Source organism: Homo sapiens, chromosome 10 (genome assembly GCF_000001405.40).
Source record: "Homo sapiens chromosome 10, GRCh38.p14 Primary Assembly".
Taxonomy (NCBI): Eukaryota; Metazoa; Chordata; class Mammalia; order Primates; family Hominidae; genus Homo; species Homo sapiens.
Genome location: NC_000010.11, coordinates 16,714,986 through 16,739,081, shown reverse-complemented (window position 1 = coordinate 16,739,081; position 24,096 = coordinate 16,714,986). Strand labels below are relative to the sequence as shown.

General features: G+C 39.6%; 1 protein-coding gene and 1 long non-coding RNA gene across 4 annotated transcripts in view; both read left to right on the top strand.

The window, feature by feature from the left end:
• RSU1 (Ras suppressor protein 1) overlaps positions 1 to 24,096 on the top strand; it is a 226,814-nt gene that overhangs the window by 78,343 nt on the left and 124,375 nt on the right. The window lies entirely within an intron of this gene.
• Positions 878 to 23,085, top strand: LOC124902384 (uncharacterized). Its single transcript, XR_007062072.1, has 2 exons — positions 878 to 5,103; positions 7,555 to 23,085. It is a non-coding gene; the product is annotated as an uncharacterized LOC124902384 (long non-coding RNA).

The window sequence follows — 24,096 nt, the reverse complement described above, 5'->3', positions numbered from 1 at the left end:
ATATACACCATGGAATACTATGCAGCCATAAAAAAGAATGAGTTCATGTCCTTTGCAGAGACATGGATGAAGCTGGAAGCCATCATTCTCAGCAGCCTAACATAGGAACAGAAAACCAAACACCACATGTTCTCGTTCATAAGTGGGAGTTGAATGATGAGAACACAGGGACAACAGGGAGGGGAACATCACACCCTGGGGTCCGCTGGGGGGGTGGGGGGCAAGGAGAGGGAGAGCATTAGGACAAATACCTAATGCATGTGCGGCTGAAAACCTAGTTGATGGGTTGATAGGTGCAGCAAACCACCATGGTACGTGTATATGTACGTAACAAACCTGCAAGTTCTGCATAGGTATCCTGGAACTTAAAATAATTTTTTTTTAAAAAGTACATTTCTTCTGAGTTAGTCTGTATTGTCCCCATTTTTATTGTTAATTTATGTTTTCCATTTTTCCCCCCTTTGATTGATTGGTCCAAATAGCTGATTGTAGTTTCACTGAGTTATTTTATTCTTTGTTTTGTATTTCAATGATTTGCTTTTCTTCTTCTGAGTACAGCTGGCTGTGATTTTTCTAGCTTGTTTAGGTGAAAGCTTACGTGATTGATTTTCAGTTTTTCTTCTTTTTTTTTGAGACAGAGTCTTGCTCTTTCACACAGGCCAGAGTCCAGTGGCGCTATCTCGGCTCACTGCATGCTCCGCCTCCTGGGTTCACGTCATTCTCCTGCCTCAGCCTCCTGAGTAGCTGGGACTACAGGTGGCTGCCACCGGGCCCAGCTAATTTTTTGTATTTTTTTTTTAGTAGAGACGGAGTTTCACTCTGTTAGCCAGGATGGTCTCGATCTGCTGACATCATGATCCGCCTGTTTTGGCCTCCCAAAGTGCTGGGATTACAGGCGTGAGCCACCGTGCCCGGCCTCTTCTTTTTTAGTGTAAGCATTTCAAGTTAGAAGTTTTTCTCCGTTGTTTTAGCAGCATCTCACACATTCTGTAATTTCATTATCATTCAGTTTCAAATATTTTCTTTTGTAAGACCTGGGGCCTGTTATTTAGAAATTGAGAATTTGTTTGTTTTCAAGTATTCGGAGATATCCGAAACATTTTGTTACTGATTTCTAATTTAAATTATGTCCTGATCAAAATTCATAGTCTATATAATTCTAGTCCTTCACAATTTGTTGATTTGTTTTATGGGCCTGCGTATTCTCTAGTTGGTGAATTTTACATGCACACTTAAAAGTTTTATGTGCCCCATCAGTGTTCCATAAATGTTAGGTTACATTAGTTGATATGTTATAACTCCCAGTAATATTGTTTTTTTTTTTCCTTAAGTTAGTTTTCTTAAATAACTTTAGAGAGGAGGAAAAAGTTTTTCACATTGACTGCCGCTTCTCTATTTACCATTTCTGATGCTCTTCTTTCCTTGATGTAGATAGGCGCTTCCATCTGGTATCATTTGCCTTTATCCTGAAGAATTTTTTCTTTTGTATTTATTGTAGTACAGTTCTTTTTGGTCATTAATTAGCTTTTGTTTATCTGAAATATTTTTATTTTGTTTTCAGTTTTTGGAGGAATTTTTTTTCAGGATATGAAATTTTAGGTTGACAGGTTTTTTATTTTTTTTACTTCTACCTTGCTTCAAGGGTGTTTTCTTGTCTCTGGTTTGCATTGTTTTAGTGTCTTTCTTACATTGTTCTCTGTGTCTATTTTTCTGTGGCCTCTTAAAATTTTCTGTTTATCATTGGGTTTTAGCAGTTTCTCATGTAACATGTTCTTTATTTCTTTTTGACAGTTTTATGGAGCTTGTCTCATATATGGGTTTATAGTGTTCATAAAGTTTGATAAATTTTCAGCCATTTTTTAAAATTAATTGATTGGTTGGTAGGTTAGTAATTTTCAGCCTTTTTTTTTATTGATTGATTGATTTCCCATCTCTCTCTCCTCTCCTAGAACTTACATTACTCTTGTGTTAGATCACTTGATATCTTCCACAGGTCACTTATACAAAACTTTTTATCTTGTTTTGTTTCTTTTCATCATCTTCCCCCCTCCCCTCCCCCACCATCCCCCTTTTGGCTTCAGTTTGGATAGTTTCTTGTGCACTGTCATTAAGTTCAGTGATTTTTTTTGTTCTGTAGTGTCTAATCTCCTGATAAGCATATTCAGTAAGATTTATTGTTTCAGATGTTGCATTTTTCACTTCCAAGTGTATGCAAGGTATAGCTCTTTTTATAATTTCATTTCTCAATTTAGATACTATTTATTTCCTTATTATGTTCATGTTTTTCTTTAAATCTTTGCACATATTTTAAATTGCTGTTTTAACATTTTTATCTGGTAATGTAATTTCTGATTCTGTTTGCATTGATGGATTTTTCTTTTGTTTGTAAGCCACTTTTTTCCTCTTACTCTGAATGTCTAGTTTTCTGTGGGTTTTTTTGTTTTTTGGTTTTTGGTTTTTACTGTATCGTAGACATTAAGAATAGTACATTTTTGGTTGTATGAATTCTTTTTGTCTTTTTTTATGGTCTGTTGGGTTTCATTCTAGCAGGTCGTTAATTTTTGGTTAGCTTGATTCTTTCAGGGCTGGTTTTTAATGCCTGTTAGACTTGGTCCTTACTAGTCTTTACTCCTGGGCTAGATTAACCCTAATCTTAAGACTTCTGGGATTACTGCCTCTTGACCAGGGTGCTTAGTAACATCGTTACTCTCTGGCTGATCAGAGTGTGAGTGTTTTCTAGTTCTGTGAAAACTCCAGTGATTGTTTAGCTTATATCTTCCTTGTAATTGGTCTTTCCCTGGTAGTTATATCTTCCTTGTAGTTGGTCTTTCCCTGGTAGTTTTTGTTTTTTCTTTCCCAGCCTTTAGGAGTCTTGTCCTGAACATTGTAGTTAATATTTGGCAAAGATTCATGGGAATTCCTGTGCAGCTTTCTGGGCCTCTTTTTCTTCATAGCTCCTTTCCTGCTATGCCCTCCTTGCCCCACAAATTCCAGCTCCTTGAGTAGCCTCAAACTCTGATTTCTGTCCTTTCAATTCAGCATTGCCACTGTATTGTTTGATCCACTCTTGCACAGCTGTCTGGAAATGCTTCTCAGAGAAAACCAGAGTGAATGTGGAGTTTTCCTTACTCATTTTCCTTCCCTCATGCATCATAGTCCTGTGCTGCTTGTTTCCTGATACGGTTTGGCTGTGCCCCCACCCAAATCTCATCTTGAATTGTAGTTTCCATAATCTCCACATATGGGAGGGACCCAGTGGGAGACAAATGAATCATAGGTGCTGTTAGTCCATGCTTCTGTTCTTGTGATAGTGAGTTCTTACAAGCTCTGATGGTTTTATAAAGGGGTTTTTCCCCTTTTGCTTGGCACCTCTCCTTGCTGCCGCTACGTGAAGAAGGACATGTTTGCTTCCCCTCTGCCATGATTGTAAGTTTCCTGAGGCCTCCCCAGCCATGCTGAACTGTGACTCAATTAAACCTCTTCCCTTTATAAATTATGTAGTCTTGGGTATGTCTTTATTAGCAGTGTGAGAATGGACTAATACATTGCCCAATATCTAGAAGCATTTCTATTATACATTTTGTCCAGTTACTTCAGAATGCCAGAAGCAAAAGTCTGGATTAATTTTTGATAACTGCCAATGTGGAAAGGTATAATTATTTTTCTGCTCTTTTCTTACCCATTTACACAACCGCCAGAGGTTATTTTTGCTCAGGTCATTCCCTCAACCCTGCATTCACTGGCTGGATTCCATAGCAGACATAGCGGTATTAGGATGCATATCAGACTTCATGTTATGTACACATGTTCTTTAAGACCATTTTCATCTTTATTCTTGGTATTAACAAGTTTTTAACCCCTAGAATAATTTCTTGGTCTTTATTGCTTTTTAACTTATCTGTTAATGCACTATTATAGCCGAGACCAACTGTATTAGTTTGCTGGGTCTGCCATAACAAAGTGCCAAAGACTGGGTGACTTAAGCAACAGAAATAAATTTTCTTGTGTTCGTGGAGATTAGAAGTCTAATGTCAAAATAACAGAATTGGTTTCTTCTGAGGGTTTAAGGGAATGATTTTTTCTAGACCTCACTCCTTGGCTTGTGGGTGGCCCTTTTCTCCCTGTGTCTTCACTGTGCCTTCCCTCAGTACCTGTCTGTGTTCAGCTTTGCCCTTCTTGTAAGGACAACAGTCATATTGGATTAAGATCCACTCATATGACCTCATTTTAACTAAATCATCTCTGTGAAGTCACCATTTCCAAATAGTCACATTCTGAGATATTGAGGGTTAGGATGGAATTCAGCCCATAACACCAACCATTTCTCATGTTTCTTACTTTTTGCTGCTGAGCCTTGGTGTAAAACTTGATATCCTGTGATACTGTTGCATTGTTCACCTGCTTATTCATGTCATCATTCTTTTTCATTATTGCAACAATAAGTCAAGTTACCTTAAGCCATTATTTTTCATCTTTTCAGAAATCTTTGAGAAACAAGTGAAACCTATGGAGATAACCCCCCCAATATATATTTTCACATATGACATTTTACATCTAATTTGGAGAGTTTTAAGATGCCCCCATATCCACGCATGTGCCCTTTAGTGCAGAATTCCCGCCCCAAATATTCATCATTGTAACCCTTTATTCTAGGTTCCATCCACTGACTGGTATAGATGTCATTCATGTATAACTACCAGATTTCCCCCTGAATCACATGCAGATGAAGAAGAGTGTGTGAGCACAGGATTCATGAATGCCTAGTGCAGGAAGTTATAGGTATTGAAAGGGAAAAGCAATACATCACTCATTTGATCTGCTCTCTTTCAGATCATAGGATGTAGTGGTAGATGGTCACATATTAAACTTTAAAGAGGTGTTGGCTTTCTTCCCCCTTGCATTTAAAAGGTGATGTGCTGCAATGTGAGACAAATCATGATTCACTACAACAGTGTTGCAGTCAGTTATATAAATTGCCAATGAAACACTAAATCTGTCACTTTGTGTGTTCCGACAGTTTAGCAATTGGAGTCGTGTTGGAAGAGGGCTGACTGGGAACAAAAGAAGCTGATATAGTGGCAGATGCAATTAGCAAGATCAATGGTTAGTGTTAAAGGTTCATTGTTTGGTCATTTTGGTTGACTGAATTGAAAGCAATTGCTATCTAAAAGACTTTGCCAGCTGTAATTTGCTATAAGAGAATGCAGAAAAGTTAGTTGCCCAACTTTATAACATCTTGGAGACTGTTATTTCTCAACTTGCTGTGTTCCTAGGACAGTGACCAAAAGATTCAGCTTGTTCTTCTCATTCAAGCTCATTCAAGCTTTTAATAGATACTCTAGAATTTCTGCATGTTCAGTATATATACGTTTTTTACTTTAGCTGTTCACCTACTTCTTTCACAAAAATTTTTGGGTCCGTGTTATAGCCTTTATAACAGTTCTTTGAACCCTAATTTATTACAGCTTTCTGTTGCTTCAGACTATGAGAGTTTTCGCTGATCACTACTTGAACTATAGCAAACACCACTTTGAATAACATTGGGTTTTCTGTTTTTGTTTGTTTGTTTGTTTTGCGACAGAGTCTCACTCTGTCACCCAAGCTGGAGTGCAGTGGTGTGATGTCACTTCACTGCACCCTCTGCCTCCTGGGTTCAGGCAACACTCCTGCCTCAGCCTCTTGAGTAGCTGGGATTACAGGCACCTGCCACCACGCTTGGCTCATTTTTTTTTTTTTTTTTTTTTTTTTATTGTCGTAGAGATGGGGTTTCACCATGTTGGCCAGACTGGTATTGAACTCCTGACCTCAGGTGATCCGTCCATCTCGGCCTCCCAAAGTGCTGGGATTACAGGCATGAGCCACCATGCCCAGCCGGGTTTTCTATTTTAATAAGATTTATATAACTTTGCATTTCAGTGCCTTAAATTGACCAGTTTTTAGAAATGAATATAGGTGAAAATATTTGCCTAGTAATGATGATGGCTGATGATACTAATAGTCCATTTATGAGTGCTTATCTTCCCTAAGATAGGTCATCTTAAATAAGATATTTCTGTGAGCTGGAGTTACTTTTTTCCCATTTTACAGATGAGGAACCTTAAGCTTAGAGTAACCTGTCAAAGCCATGCAGGTAGACTTTATCAAACTCCATCCATGCTTCCAACCTTGGAAGTTAACCAAGAGCTTTTAACCACTTCTGCAGAAGTGGTTAAGAACCTATGAAATGTTTATTAAATTCTTATCTAATATCTTCGTAAGCCTTTCTGAAAGGCACAAAAGGTATGACCCAGTTCTGTTTCTAACAGAGCTACTAACCTAGTGAAACTTGAAGAATAGTTAACCTGTTAAATTGGAACACCAGGTGTCACTGCAGTAGAAATGTAGCCTGGGCAGAAATCATCATGGCTTGAGATAGTCTAAAAAAGCTTCTGCAGTATCTTAGTCAGCTTGGGCTGCTATAACAAAAATACCATAGACTGGGTGACTTAGACAGCAGAAATTTATTTCTCATGGTTCTTTGGGCTGGGAAATCTGAGATCAAAGTGCTGGCTAATTCATTTCCTGGCAAGAGCTCTCTTTCTGGTCCCAGGTGACACATCCTTTCTGTATCATCACATGGCAGAGAGATCATTTTTCTTGTGTCTGTTCTTATAAGAGCACTAATCCTATTTATAAGGGCTCCACTCTCATGACCTAATTCTCTTCCAAGGACCCTACTTCCAAATACCATCACATTAGCACTTAGGGCTTTAACATATGGATTTGGAGGGGTCATAAATACTCAGTCCACAGGAAGTAGAGGTGAGATTTTAGCTGGCACATAGCAGAATCAACAATGGTAAGAGAAAATGCAAAGCAGTGGTATATATTACATTTCATGACTTGAATATAAATTTAAACTGTTGTTAGGCTATGGTCTCTGTCCCTTTGTGTACTTCCCATGAGCACTCATCAGAACTGCTTTTCATTCAGTTAGGTCTTCTGTGACTAGTTGGGTAATACTGAGGCATCAGTTTGGTGGAAGCTACTGATACTGTACTTCCTCATTTAGCCCAGTTGGTTCTCAGAGTTTATAAGTCCATTGGCCCCTTAAGGAAGTCAATGAAAGCCATAGATTCTGTCTAGGAAAAATTGTATATACTTGACCATGGGACCTGGGATTAAATATCTCTGCCCTGTCCCAACAATATCGGCTTATCTTAACCACTCTCAAAAGCGTTGGAGATAAATGGCAGAAAGCTACTTTTTATACCTCAGTAGAAAAAAAAAAATGAGCAAGAACAGATATTTCACAAGAGAAGATCAATGACCAAGCCTATAAAAAACTGGTCAGCCTTAGTAGCAGTCAATGAAATGCAGATTAAAACAAGTTACTATTTTTTAGAATATCGATTAACGAAGATTTTAAAAATGATAATGCAAAGTGATAGTAAAGGTTTGGTGCAATAGACATTTTCATGCATTGCTGTTGGATTGTAAATTAGCGTGTTAATTCTAGACCCATTTTTGGAGTATATGCCAGGCACCGTAAAAGCTTCCAACCTTTTGTTGCAGTAAGCTCCCTTGGAATTCTATCATCAAGAAATAATCAGGAACTCAGAAAAGGTTAGTATAAATATGTTTCTTGCCACAGTATTTTTTTTTTTTTTTTTGAGACGGAGTGTCGCTCTTTCGCCCAGGCTCGAGTGCAGTGGTGCTATCTCGGCTCACTGCAAGCTCCGCCTCCTGGGTTCACGCCATTCTCCTGCCTCAGTCTCCCAAGTAGCTGGGACTACAGGCGCCCACCCCCGCGCCCGGCTAATTTTTTGTATTTTTTAGTAGAGACGGGGTTTCATTTGCCACAGTACTTTTAACAGTAGAAGCTTTGAGCCACCTTGATATAAAAATGGTTAAATTAACTAGTAGATGATGGAACATAAAATGACACGAGAATACTTATAATAGCACATTATAAGATTGCATTTACAAGGCCGGGTGCCATGGCTCACGTCTGTAATCCCAGCACTTTGGGAGTCTAAGGCAGGTGCATCAGGAGTTCTAGACCAGCCTGGCCAACATGGTGAAACCCCATCTCTACTAAAAATACAAAAATAAGCTGGGCGTGGTGGCGGGCATCTATAATCCCAGCTACTTCAGAGACTGAGGCACAAGAATCGCTTGAACCCAGGAGACGGAGGTTGTAATGAGCCAAGATCACGCCATTGCACTGCAGTCTGGGCGACAGAGTGAGACTCAGTCTCGCTGAAAAAAACAACAACATTGCTTTACAGTGTGATTCCAGTTACAGAGAATATTCACATAGGTGCATAAATAAATGAAAAAATTATTGGTTAATGTCTCTGTATGTTGGGATTCTCAGTGATTTTATTTTTCTACTTTTTATTTTTTATAATTTCTCCAGTGTGTTGGTGTTAGCTTTATAGATTATATCAAGTAACCTTTTGCTGCACCAAAAAACCCCCCAAATCTAGTGGATTAAAACAAAACCATCTTACAATTTTGTCAGAACTGTCTAAGCTGATATTTACTGGGCTCTCTCCTGAATGTGGGGTCAGCTGGGGGGTTGGCTAATAGGGTACCCTAGGATGGTCTCACTCATCTGTGGTGGTTGGCAGACCGTTGTCCAAGACACTGCACTTCTCTTCCGGGTGGCTTCTCACGCCTTCTGATGTGCTAGCTTGGGTTTGTTCACATGGTGGTCTCTTCCAGGGATAGTACAAGGTACAGCTCACGTGCATGAGGTGCAAGTTGATACAGTTTGGATGTTTGTCCCCTCCAAATCTGATGTTGAAATTTGATCCCCAGTGCTGGAGGTTGGGCCTGGTGGGAGGTCTTTGGGACATTGGGGCGGATCCCTCTTGAATGGCTTGGTGTGTCCTCATGGTAACCAGTGAGGTCTTGCTTTATGAGTCCCCAGGAGAGCTGATTCTTAAAAAGAGCCTAGCACCTCCCTTCCGTCTTGCCCTCCATCCTCTCGCTGTCATCTATACACAACAGCTCCCCTTCCCCTTCTGCCTTGAGCGGAAGCTTCCTGAAGCCCTCACAAGAAGCAGATGCTGGCGCCATGCTTCTTGTGCAGCCTGTGGAACCAGGAGCCAAATAAACCACTTTTCTTTGTAAATTACCCAGCCTCAAGTATTCCATTATAGCAACACAAAAATGGACTAAGACATAAGCCCAGGTACACAAGCACTTTCCAAGTCTGTTACATTCACATTTGCTAATGCCCTCTCTATTGACCAAAGCAATTCACTTGATTAGGCCCAGAGCCAGTGTACAAGGAAACACCAGGGGCATGGAAGGTACAGAGGAGAGGGCGGGATGATCACAGCTGTTTTTGCAAACAATCTTTGACATAAACAGTGATATCAATGCCATAAAAAAGAAAAATAAACCCCTAACCCATCTGAATCCTAGTGCAGAGCCTTCTGAGAGTGATAGTATCTTTATGTTTTGACTGCTTCAGAGGTCTCCATATCTTTTCATGCCTTTGTGGTTACAAGGAGTAGCGAAGACGGGGGCGGGCAGATCAGTGATCACCTTCCTTGGCCTTCCTTGGCCATCTAGCATACAGTTAACCTTCCTTGACTATCTAGCCTTCAGTTCCCCTACCACTCCCTTTTCAGCCTGAGTGGCCAGGTACTTGGGCTTATCTGTTAATTTTTCTTTCTCTTTCACTGAAACTTCCTGCCACACCCAGAAGAAAACCAATAGCATGGTACTCACAGGGAGGTGAATAGAATTATAATCGAAGAGTGCTCATTTTGTGGGTCTGAATTGGAAGTGTATTTTTGTTTTTGCAATATCACTAATAATGTTTCCTAGCCTTGTGTAAGAATTAAAATGTGTTGCATTTCATTGCAAATTTTCTGTGCCAAGACAAAAGTAGATTATTCTACTCTCACTTTGTGTAACAGGAGGCAAAAGCTTCCATAGATGCTTTATGAATAGTATTTTGAGGCCTAGAAAAATAAGTTGCAGAGTAGCTGAAAGTGCTAATGGAGATAAATACGCGGCATATGTTTGCATAGTGCCTTAGTTTCCTATTGCTGCTATAAACAATGAGCACAAACAGTGGCTGAAAACAGCACCGATTTATTCTCTTATGCTTCTGGAGGGCGGAAGTCTGAGATCTTTTTCACTGAATTAGACTCCACATGTCACCCAAGTCACTTCCTTCAGGAGGCTCTAGAGGAGAATGGCTCCTTGCCTTTCTCAGCTTCTAGTGAGTGCCTGCATTCCTTGGCTTACAGCCCCTTCCTTCATCCTCAGAACCTACCACATCATTCTCTGCTACCGTCATCACATTGCATTCTCCTCTCACTCTGATTCTTCTCCCATCCCTCTTATAAGCACCACTGCAATTATATCAGGCCCACCCAGATAACCTCCCCAACTCAAGATCCTTCACTTATCCACTTCGACAAAGTCCCTTTTGCCTCATGAGCTGATATGCGCAGGTTCCAGGGATTGGGACAGAAATATATTTGGGGAGCCATCACCCCGCCTCCCACACATAGTAACACACCTATGAACCTCATAGTTCCGTTGCGTTTGTGAAAGTGGTTTCTTTCCCCTGCTTCATGATGGGCCTATGTGTCATCTTCTGGATGAGCTGGCTGGTCTGCAGGGTTCTGCCTCACTTCCTGATCCTGATTCCACTGGGATTTGGGTCTGGGTATGATGAAGGGTGTAGGTGTATATGTGACTGATTTTTATTCTTCATATTGGGGAGAAATGAAGTTTATTTTGCTCTCCTCCCTCATTCTATATATTGATATTATGATTAATAGCTTTTGACACCAAACTATTTTGAAATATGAGTCTTTTATGACGTATTTTGACAGCAGCAATGGCATGCTTTTCGCTGTTGTAACAGGAGTAAATGACAGGGGCCACTCGCTCATTATTTTATACCCAAGTAATCAACCAAAGATGTCATGTCCAGAAATAACACTAAAATGTCAACCACCCAAATCTCTTGCAAATAGTCTCATTCAGAGGGTTGGAATCTGCCTTACTGGCAGTTTTGAAAGATACAATTTGTTGAAGACAGGGAGCCCTAAGTGATTTCTTTCTCTCTCCGAGATGCCAGATGGGTGTTGAATGAAGTCCAGTTTTTAGTTTTTCTGTAGATAATTTTTTTAAGTTTGTGGTGGTGTTTCGGATCTTCATCCGTGTGTTCTCCCTCCTCTAGCCCCCCACGGCTACCCACAGCCTGGCAGCGGTATGGTTGCCTTGGTACCTGTTCCTGAAGGCTGTCTGCAATGAAATTTGGTTGTCTAAATAGCACGACTTGTCATCTAAAAGTAGAAGTCATTAGCACGATGCCGTTTGGCTAGTGGTATCTTGAATGCTGTTTTAAAAATTTTCTTATTTTATCACTTTACTGTTACTGTTTACTCATGTCATCACTGGAGATTTCAGGGCCTGCTTCACACTATGGATCCGGAGTGAAAAATACGAAATGTTCTCCCTAAGAGTTTCCCAGAACTTGCGCCAAAAACAGTGGCCCGAGTTGGACATTTTGTATATTTTTAGAGACACAGATTTTGAAATTCCAGCCGTTGTTACCTCGCGTGATCAGTAATACTTGCATATTGGTAGCGGCAATCCATGATTGAACAGCCTTCTGCTGTTTCTGAGGGAAATGAAATTTCTGCCAGCTTCTGTTTGAACTTTAATTGGCCTTCACTGTGGTCGTGAATTTGCCAGAAACACGTATTTATCTCAGAAAAGGTAGCATGTTTTTTAAGTTTGATATAAAAGTTGAATTGGGTGCTTTGGGAGGATTTGTGTCCATTTGCCTCCAATCAAGTTATCTCCTCTGTGAAATTATAACAAAAGATGCAGCCAGGCGGAACATCGTCACTCTTTCCGCCCAGGTGAGTCCACTCTGAAGTCAATGACTCCTGTCACTATAGGTAAGATGGGAGGCCACATCCTGTTCCCTTGTGGTAGGCATCTTGGCAAAAACCACCAACTGGCAGCCTGTGTTGTGAGGAATGCACATTAATTAGTTCCTTGAAACTCTTCCCTCATTAACTTCAGGTAAGTTGTTAAAGCAAATGTTCTGGAGTTCAGAGTGTTGCTTTTGATAATGAGAAAACAAGTTTAGTCATCAGAATCTGTCATCTTGTTTATAAAACAGTCAAACCATATGCAACGCCCTTCTGCATGGTGGATTTTGTTTTGTTCCTTGAACCTACTGGCTCGCTTCATCCAATGCCTACAGATAGTAAATAAAGAGGTCCATTTTTTTAGGTACATTAAATACTACAAATTTTGGGAGGGGAGGTAGAGTAGGAGGGTGGTGGGCAGAAGGCAGCCGGGCCATTTTTTTGGCAACTAATTCAATATGAGAAAAAAGATGGTATTGCTCTCATAAAAGTAATTTATATTCATTGTTTTCAACCAACTGAAACATTCAGAAAGCTAAAAACATTTCAGTCAAATTCCCACCACCTTGAAATAATCAGAAGTATGTTTTGGTGACCATCATTCAAGATACGTTCTTGGCCGGGCGCAGTGGCTCACGCCTGTAATCCCAGCACTTTGGGAGGCCGAGATGGGTGGATCACGAGGTCAAGATATCGGGACCATCCTGGCCAACTTGGTAAAACCCCGTCTCTACTAAAAACACAAAAATTAGCTGGGCGTGGTGGTGGGCACCTGTAATCCAGCTAGTCAGGAGGCTGAGGTAGGAGAATCACTTGAACCTGGGAGGCTGAGGTTGTAGTGAGCCGAGATTGCGCCACTGCACTCTAACCTGGTGACAGAGCAAGACTCTGTCTCAAAAAAAAAAAAAAAAAAAGATACGTTCCTAAGATAGACAGAAAGGTAGGTCAAGAAGCAGGTAACTATATTGACAAATGAAGAAGCATAATATTTTTAAATGTAAATTTGAATCTAAGAAAGGAAAATCAGATGAAGTAATTTCTGAACTTTTACTATGTGAGTCCAAGAATATTAAGCTATTACTTCCTAAAATATTACTGTAAAGTAAAAATAACAATTATTGACAATATTGAGAAGTTTTATATGTATATACACATATATACGTGCATATGTATCTACATTCTATGTATGTTTTATACATATATAACTGTATTTTAAACTGTAATTTTCAAAATAGTTTTGATAGCTTTTTGATTTGTTGCTTATTTGGCTAGATTTAATTGCCAAGAATTTTATTTTTGTTTATTTCAAATATGGTTTATGTTACATATCCTTTGTTCCTGCATACTAGATGCCTTAGTCCATTTTGTGCTGGTTTCACAAAATACTTGAGACTGGGTAATTTATAAATAATAGAACTTTATTTCTTACCATTCTGGGGGCTGGGAAGCCTGAGATCAAGGAGCGGACAGATTCAGTTTTCTGGCGAGGGCTGCATTCCATCTGGTGACACTGCATCCTCTGGAGAAGAGAAATGCTGTGTCCTCCCATGACAGAAGGCAGAAGGGCAAGAGGAATGAACTTCCCTTCTTAAGCCCTGTTATAAGCGCACCGAATACCTTTCACAGGGGTTTAGGTGTGCTTGTAAACATCATGACTTAATCACCTCCTGAAGGCCCCCCGCTCAAGATGCTTTCGTTGATAATTAAGTTTGAACTTGAATTGTAGAGGGAACAGAAGCATTCAGAACCTAACACTTCAGAGTATCTGTTCCTTTCTCATTTAATAGATAATTCGTCTAGGTATAAAAATCTCGAGTCACCTTTTCTTTTACTGGAATCTTGTAGATACTGTCTTTGGGCATTGAATTTCCTTAATGTGATACTGGGGGCTAACTTGAGTTGCCCACTTAATGATGACTTGCTTTCTCTGCTAGGATGTACATAGGATTATTTATTTTTATTTATTCATATTCTCTCTCTCTTCTCCCATCTCTACTATATTTATTAAAGCATCGTACATGTACACAAAAGCGCATATAACATAAGCTTATAGTTCAGCGAATGATCAACATGCCAAAACTCACGACAACTATTCAGGTGAAGAAATAGAACACCACTGGAGTTTCAGAGTTTCCTCTGATCTCCTTTCAGTCATTAGGCAGGCCTTCCTCTCTGCTCAAAGGTAGCTACTTCTTCAGCTTCTAATATCATTGACTTTTGCTGTTTTGGGATTCTACATGAACGGAACCATTCAGTATGCTTTCTGGCTTCTTTCACTCAACATTGCTTCTTGAGATTGATCCCGATTGTTGCATAGAGCAGTATTTCATTCATTTTCCTTGCTCCCATGATATGTGAATTATCTGTGTGTCAGCCCTAGTTCTCGTTTGAGCTACTTACTGGCTTAAGCAACAGCCTTGTCACTTTTGAGTCATTCCCCACTTTGGGACTGGCAGTGAAATAGAGGCTGTCAGTGGGTTGATGAGTGAGCACTATGTCCCCTCCCTCGTTCCTGTCACCTCCTTCTCGGACAGTAAAGTCACTGTTCGTGATTCCCCCTTCTGCTCCTCTTCTGCCACGTGCTGTTAGCAGGGTTTCTCTGGGGATACCCACTGCTGCCCCTTTTCTTTTAGTATGTTCTCACTCAGATCTTAGCCCTTTAGCCAATGGCTCATTTCAGTGGTCTTTTAGGACGGAGAAAAATCTGTGTCATGCTTGCGTTCCAAGGAGCCATGTGTTCATTGCTAATGCCCTCCCTCATTTTGGTCCAGTTTCCCTGTATTCAGCTAATGTTCATTATAGTTTGTGGTGTTGGAGTAATAACCATTTATTTATGAAACCATTTTATTATATTTTATTCTTTTCTCTTTCACAGTAGATTTTAGGGAAGGAGAATATACAGAAATGTTTTTGTTCCTTCCTGTTTAACTGCATGTCTCAGCTGGGCCCGGTGGCTCATGCCTGTAATCCCAGCACTTTGGGAGGCGAAGGCAGGCAAATTACCTGAGGTCAGGAGTTCGAGACCAGCCTGGCCAACATGGTGAAGCCCCGTCTCTACTAAAAATACAAAAAAATTAGCTGGACATGGTGGCAGGTGCCTGTAATCCCAGCTATTGGGGAGGCTGAGGCAGGAGAATCACTTGAACCCGGGAGATGGAGGTTGCAGTGAGCCGAGATCATACCACTGCACTCCAGCCTGGGCAACAACAGTGAAACCCCATCTCAAAAAAATAAATAAAAAGGCATGTCTCATAAATTAGCTTAGGAATAAGTGCATTTAACAACCCAGGACTGATAATGTGAGGATTACTAACATGGTGAATATTTACCATGTTGGTATATCTCTGCACGGGTGGACTGAGTTTCCTTTTGGGGCCATCTCAGTCACCTTCTTCCCCCTCATTTGTCCCAGCGTCCTGCCCTCCACCCTCTAGTCCATCTTCCTGCAGGCCTGGCTGTCCACTGTCCTGTGTTAGCCCTGACACCTGCCAAGCCATCTGAAGCTTCCCATTCTTCTTGGAGGCTGATTAACTCAGAAGAATGCTTTAACCAGAGGGGGTAAACTATAGTATGCGACTAGCTTTATGTTCCTTTATAGGTTTTTAATATCAGCGAATGGAGAATTATTCTATACTGCCTTTGAGTATGAGCTTAATCTCATTCATCATCAAAAAGCATCTGGAATCTGCCATTGGAGCTCTTGCTCAAATGCTTGACTGAACTGTAGGGAGGTGCTTTTTGTTCTAGTGTGTATAATGTGTATAATTTGGTGCCAACATGGCAGCCCCTTCAGATCAGAGCCATAACTTTACAGAAGGAACAGTATCTCTTTAAAAATAGACACAGGTTTAAGATTTAAAGTGACAGCAACATTTTTGAGAAAATTTTTTATCTGAAGGTTGAAAAAACGTTGGATCTTATATAATTAAAGAGAAATGTAACCTTTATGTCTGACTGTATCTTTGCTTTCCAGTTCACCAAAATGGTACCCACAGTTGAAAACACTCATAAGAATAATGAAGTCACATTGCGATGGACTTTGCTCTCCCAGCTCAAATTATGTGCCAACTAATACAGCAAATCGTATGATATATGTGTGTATATATATATATCACATGATATATATGTGTGTATGTATGTCTATATACATATACATATATGTGTGTATGTTTGTGTCTATATGCATATATGTATATGTGTGTATATATACATATATGTATATGTGTGTATATATACATATATGTATATGTGTGTATATATACATATATGTATATGTGTGTATATATACATATATGTATATGTGTGTATATATACATATATGTATATATGTGTGTATATATACATATATGTGGCTGTATACATGTATATATGTGTATATATGTATATAGACACACACATACACATATATACAGATATACACATATGTAGTTTGAGTTATATAAAAAGTGTGCTCTTAAGACAGATAGCTTGCTTTTCTCTAACCTCTATTGTCTGGAATATTGTCTATTTGGCCCTTCTGTAAATGCTATGTAGACCCATAATATCCTTAACTTTAATTTTGGATTTCTTCACTCATGAGTTCTAACTCCATATCCCCAACCTAGCTAGACCTCTCACCTGATACCCCAGATGATAAATCTTATTGCTTGGTGGATATTTTCACTTTCATGTTCCAGAGGCACCTCACATTGTAACAGACCTGAGGTTGGGCTCCTCCACTCCTCTTGAATTCTGTGCTTAGGTCGATGACACCACCATTCATACATCCACCAGCTAGAAGCCTGGGTGTCAGCTCCCATGCTTCATCAAATCCTTTTCCTGGATCAGAGGTTCTTACTTTTCATCTGTTTTCTTAAACAATATTCCCACCTCATTAGTGTGGGATATGTTCCAAGACCCCCAGTGGATGCCTGAACCTGCAGATAGTACTGAACCCTAGAAAAACAGTACTCTGTTTTTCTGATACATGCATACCTTTGATAAAGTTTAATTTATAAATCAGGCACAGTAAGAGATTAACAATAATAATCAAATAGATCAGTTATAACAATATACTGTAATAAAAGCTATGTGAATGTAGTATCTCTCTCTCAAAATATCTCTTCATACTGGACTCAACTATTTTTGGACCATGAGTGACTAAAACCAGGAAAGTGAAACCACGGATAAGAGAGAACTACTATGATAGTACAGTGGCAGTAGCAATAGTCACGGTAGTAATTAATAATAAAAATTTCTCTTGTACTTGCTATGTAGCCGGCTTTGTTCTAACAGCTTTACATTGATGTTTTAATCCCTTAGTAAGGTAAGCACTTATAATCCTTATTTTTAGATGAGGCAACTGAGATGCAGAGAGGGTAAATATGAACTTGTCCAAGTTCATATTGCTAGTACATCTGGGATTCTAATGGCAATGTATGGAAATGGAGAAGGAATACCAGGGCGTCGATTTTCCATTGCAGTTATCAAGTGATTTGCCACCCACGTCTGTCCCACTCAGAAAAGCCTATTGCAATGCAAGAGAATGAGCGTGATACCATTAAAGGGTTGATCTTGGATCTAGTCTAATTTGTGAAGAACATTTTATAAGTCACTCAACCATCATGAGTAACAAATCGCTGGGGAAGTGGCTTAGGCCTCCCAGCCACATGCCAGGAAGCCTGTGTTTGGCAATGACTGTTGCTCTGTACAGAATGGCTCAAGTGTTCTATTGGAAGCAGTTGGACCTTGTGGCTTTCATGCTGTCACCCTTGTATTATTTCTTGGTGTGTCCAGGTAAAGCTGGAGCTCCTTAGCCCAGCCAGAAAGGCAGCTCATGGTGCAGCCCCTGCCTGCCTCTCTGGACTCATCTCCCCTGCTTCCCTGTTTGCATTGTGGTTTTTGCTTTCCGCCTCCAGAGATATTGGAGACTCTGCTGTATTCACTATGATCTGGTTAAGCATCTCCTCCAGAAAGTCATTCCGAGCCTCTTCACTGTTCTCTCTACACTGGGTCAAGAGCCTGTGGTGTTCTCATGAGCTCTTTCTTCAGTATCCATATGAACCACTAGACCAAGAGCACCTGACGGACAAGTTATTTATCTTCATGACACAAACTGTACTAATGGAATGTTTGTGAATGAAAATGTACTTTGATGAACCAGAACCAGATACTCTATTTATTTATTTATTTGTTTGTTTATTTATTTATTTATGTGAGATAGGGTCTTGTTCAGTTGTCCAGGCTGGAGTGCAGTGGTGCAGTCTCAGCTCACTGCAGCCTCAAACTCTCAGGGCTCAGGTGATCCTCCCACCTCAGCCTCCCAAGCAGTTGGGCCCACAGGAGTGCACCACCATGCCCAGCTAATGACTGTATTTTTTGTAGACGTGGGGTTTCGCCATGGTGCCCAGGCTGTCATGGCAGCCCTAACAGATGAATCCAGTGGCATATGAAATAACTGCTAAGAACCATGTGATAGCTGGATGGGGGTTTGTCTGTGCACATATGCACATACACACAAGACATCCACATGTGTGAAAGAGGGTGTTGCATTCCTTAAGAGTAGTATACTTATTTATGTATTCTGTGTAGGATACTTATTTATATGAGAAACTCTAGCGCATGAGAAAATGTTGAACAAGAATTTAAGAGGATTTTCTGTTTACCCTGAGTTTAACTATAAAATTAGAGTTCTTCCCTAAATATTATTGTTAATATTATACATGTTGTTTTTTGCTGTAAAATATTCAGAGATTATCTAAGTAATTCTGCCACTATCTGTCATGATGTAGTGACTATGTGCATTTCTGTTGGACATTTAATTTCTATTTGATAATTTATTTCTGTTCAATATGTATATTTGTAGAATTATTTCTGAGATATAGATGTTCATTGCTATCCAGAATATTTTATGTAATAAACTCTATGTTTTCTGTCATAACTATGGTTAGGTACTGGTTTAGGGATAATCAGCCAGTTGCCTTGACCCCAAAGAACATCAAGATTTATTTGCCATTGCCACTGTCATGTTTCTTTAAAGGGAAGAGACGGGGAAAAAGGAAAGATTGGAAAGAGTTGCGGGAAGGAAAGCAAATGTCCCTTCAGACATGTGATTGTGCCACATAGGAAGGAACAGACCCTGGTTTGAATCCCAGCCTTACTGTGTATTGACCCTGTGACCTTTGGGAGATGAGTTAATCCTTGCACCACATTTTCCTTGGCTGCAAAGCACCTCAATTTGCAGGTTCCTTTGAGGGCTGAGATTATATACATAAAGCATGTGGGCTAGTCTCCTCTGGTGTATATATGCAGAAAGCATTGTCCCCAATCTTGAATTGTTAGATATTCATTTAAGGCAAACATTTTTGTTTTCTTTTTCCTTACTGAATGAGAGAAGCTGGTAAGGAAACGGTGGGATGTGGCCAGGTGATAGGAGCGCAGACATAGCAGCCATTGATGCAGACAGAGCTTAGAGAAGGCGTCATCACCACGCATCACACTGAGCAAGTCTGTGCGGCCCCTGTGCCCATGAGGCTTACAGTGCAGTTGGAAAAGCAGACCAAAGGGAATAAACGTGAACAAGATAATTGCAAAATATAGTAAGTACTGTGAAACAAACCAATAGATTCTGGGAGAAACTAAAATAAGAAGGAGCAACTTTTAGTGGAGACATCCAGGAGGCGTCTCTGAAGAGGTGACAGCAAATAAGTTACGTTTTGGGAAGCAGAGGGGAGAAGAGGGTATTGGGTAGGTGAAGAAGCGCGACAGCCCATGGTGTGTTTGGGTGATACAAGTGAGCCACCATTGTCTGATGGAAAGGGACTGGAAAAGAAACTGGATTGCTGTAAGAATGATTTTGAATGACATTGGGGTTTTTCTGGTTTGTTTTTGTTTTTGAGATGGAGTTTCCCTCAGTTGCGCAGGCTGGAGTGCAGTGGTGCGGTCCTAGCTCACTGAAGCCTCAAATTCCTGGGCTGAAGTGATCCTCTTGCCTCAGCCTCCTGAGTAGCTGGGACTAGAGGCATGCGCCACCACACTCGGCGAATTTTTTATCTTTTTGTAGAGATAGGTTGTCACTGTGTTGCCGAGGCTTGTCTTCAACTCCTGCCGTCAAGCAATCCTCCTGCCTTCAAGCAATCCTCCTGCCTTAGCCTCTCAAAGTGTTGGGATTACAGGCATGAGCCTTACGCCCAGCCAACATAATTTTTTTTTTTTTTTTTTGAGATGAAGTTTCACTCTCTGTTGCCCAGGCTGGAGTGCACTGGCATGATCTCAGCTCACTTCAACCTCCACCTCCAGGGATCAAGCAATTCTCCTGTCCCAGCCTTTCGAGTAGCTGGGATTACATGTGTCCGCCACCATGCCCGGCTAATTATTGTATTTTTAGTAGAGACGGGGTTTCACCATGTTGGCCACGCTGGTCTTGATCTACTAACCTCAGGTGATCTGCCCGCCTCAGCCTCCCAAAGTGCTGGGAATACAGATGTGAGCCACCATGCCGGGCCACCACTTTTTTTGTTGTTACTTTATTTTACAATTTTTAAATACAGTTGTATAAAATTTGAGCCATGAGTCTGACCATTCTGAGAAGGCCTACTTTTGTTTCTCCTAAGATGTGCCATTTACCGTTTTAAATTGTCATCATTGGCTAGGGGACCTGGCTCTCCATTAGATTAGAGGACACCATTTGTTCACATTTGTTGATGTCAGACTACTACCAAACAAAAATTTTTGCCCTTGTGACCATCTCTTTGACTTTCCAGATCAGGATAATCAAATAAAATGATAAATACAAATAATGTATAACATGTCACATATAGTTTATTTACTGCCTAAGGTTGTTATTTTGTGTTTAAAATGATTCTTGCTACTGAGTATAAATTCTGTGTACCCTTTTTTGATGTCAATTTTTATTATATTAATGCTAAGGAATATTAGAATAGTCTGGAATTTGGGAATTGATAGTAGCAAGCTGGAATTTGGGTATGGAAAATGCTGTGTAAACCAGTAGCAAGAAGTGCCAATGCTTGGAGTCAAGCCAGGGCCCAGATATTCAAGCTCTATTTCTTTTTCTTTTCTTTCTTTCTTTCTTTTTTTTTTTTTTTTAAATAAATTGAGCTTTGGAAACACCTTCACATTTGAAAATGACTTTGTGTTTGTTGATTGTTTTCTTTCTTGAGTAGAGTATCATAGTACTTTCTTTTTTTGTTATTTGTTACTGTGACAGTATTTCATATTTTTAACCCAAGACAGTTGGCTTTCCAAAAATACTGGAAACAAATGCATGATGTAATCATCCTCACCCGCGTCCAAAATTGTGGTAGATCTCCACTTTCACTCTGTTATTTATAGTAATGCGTTTTTTTTGTGTTAGGACTGGTAAGTTGCCTAAGTAGATCCTTGAGAGGCGGGATAGACATTTTTTCCCTTGAGTCATATAGTTAATTTGCTTTCATTTTTCTTGAGTCCTACTGTTAAATTTTTGAAGTACAACAGTTTATGTCCTTGGTCTGTGCTTGACTGTGGAGTAATACTAGACAATAAGGCATCCTTTATTTATATTAGCTTTGGTATGTTGTTTTTGCTTTTCTCAGATTTCTCCAGTCCTAAAGAAGGTTATGTACATTTATCTGTGTGTTTACATACATGGTTATATGGAAATAATTGCTTTCAGATAGTTGTGGTTTTCTTTTCATTGTTTCTTCTGAAATATTCTTGTTAAACCTGAGAACAAGTGAAAATGTTTCATGAAAATGCATTAAAATGCATTGTTAATATATAACCTAAAAACTATTGGATTGGTTTATTTTTAGCATGAAGAATTTTGAATTCACTGGAATTTAAGTTACAGTTGTTGCAGTTTTTATGTAGACTTGGCAGTTATGTCACTTATACTTCTTAATTATCTTTGTACATATTTTATATGACATAATATCTGCACACTCACCATCTCCAGCCTCTGTAGAGAATGTAACACATAGCACCAAAGTAATAAAAATATAAGCCCCAGAGCGGGAAGCAAAGCTGAAACAAGCCATTTTTACATATAACTTAAGTTTAGGTTCTGTATAGTAGGTTGATCCCTTACTTAACCTTTAATAAAATTGGATTCAAGGGTATTTATATGTAAATAAAAAAATAAAGTTAATTTCGTTTCATACTTCCCTATGAGCAAGTGTCTAGTAATATATTACAATGACATTTAAACTTCAGTATTTGTCCTATTGGCTGAAAAAATTCCCATACTTTTTTAGCAACAGGGTTTGAGGTTAGACATTAAAAAGGGAAGGTTCTTAAGATGAATATTAAGATTACGTGATCATATGCACAGTGATGAAATCAGTCTGTATTTGTTTGACCTCTTGTCTCCTATGAAGGTATCTAAGAAGTCATTTCCTCCTATTACATATTTTAGAAATTAAAATTTAATAACGCTTCATACCCTCCAAACTTCTCTGAAAGGGCTCTTTAGTTGTACAGGCATCTAGATCATGGTCAGACTCCTTTTCTAAGTAATGTTATCAATAGTGTATTTGTATACGTGGTTATAGATCAAAGGTTGAAATACGCTTATCAGTGCCTCCTGAAGAGGCAGTCCCCTGGAGTCTTCTTATCTCACCTGATGAGTGTGGTCTTTTGGTGCTCATATCATGTATGGAAGGAGGTGGCAGGGATCAGGAGGGCATATCCCCTTTGCCTCTCATTCCCTACCCGACTTCCCAGAGAAAGCAGCATTTTCAAACTTGCAGAAATATGTGAGGGCTCTCAGAACTGCTTAGGATCAGCCATGTACATTGTGAAAAGTGAGTCATGGCTTTTTCTCTGCAATAGTGTAGACGTTTCTACTCTTAAAAATAAAGATAGATTAAAATATAACACCTCAACTCCAAGAGCTCCAAGCCTCCCACAGAACATCGTAGTCCTGCTACACTCAGTTGAACATTTATGCCCTGGCCCTGGCACCCACCTCCCTTAGCCTGCCTGTGAAGGCGTCTCTCTGATGCCCTATCTAGACCCGTTCTTCCTTTTCCTACATTTGAACTTTTTCTGAGATAGTTTCAGTTTCCATAATCTCTGTGTGATGATTTTCATCAAGAATTCCGACTAAGGAGATTTTATTCTTTTAAGAAGATTTGTTCAACATATACTTACATGAGATTTTGTTCTTTTTAAAGACTGTGTAAATAAATTATCTGATTAAGAAAAATTTTTCTACTTTGTTTTGACTCTTGAATAGGGAAATGCTTGCCTATATTTAAATGCAACCTGCTAAAAATACTTGTTCTGACCTATTAGTGAAGTATATCACACTATCTAAAGCAATCTGTAGATTTAATGCACTCGCTATGAAAATCTCGCTGATGTTTTTTGCAGAAATAGAAAATCCCACCCTAAAGTTCATATGGAATTGCAACAGACCTCAAGTAGTCAAAACAACCTTGAGAAAGAACAAAACTGAAGGATTTAACAATTCCTGATTTCAAACTTGCTACAGTTCCAGTAGTCAAAACAGTGTGGTACTGGCCTAAAGGCAGATATATTGACCAATGGAATAGAATAGAGACCCCAGAAATAAATCCTTGCCTAAATGGTCAAGTGATTTTTTGACAAGTGTGCCCAAACCACTCAATGGGGAAAAGACAGTCTTGTTAAGAAATGATGAAGTGAAAAACTACATAGGCATATGCAAAAGAATGAAGTTGGACCCTTGCCTAATAACATATAGAAGAATTAACTCAAAATGAATAAAAAACCTAAATGTAAGAACTACAACTATAAAAATTTTAGGGGAAATTGTAGGATAAAATCTTCAAGACGTTGGACTTTAAGATGACTTCTTGGCTATGACACCAAAGGCACAGACAACAAAAGAAAAAATAGGCAAATTGGACTTCATGAAAATTTAAGAATTTTGTGCATCAAAAGACAACATCAACACAATGAAAAGGCAACCCAGAGCAATATGGCCAATGAGAGTTGCCTAGTGCTCATCCCTCCCCCAAAAGGGGATCTAAACAACAAGTAAACAACTATATTTCAACTAGAGTGACGAGGAAGTATGCTGGACCGCACTAGGGGAGCAGCAAACTTCCTGTGGTGCATGGAAGGCCAGGACAGCACCATGGACAGGTGAGCGAGGCATCCTGCCTCTGCCACAGTCTCCCCCAGTGGAGACTTGGCAGTCATGGGGTGCTGTTTATGGGGAAATGTATGCTGG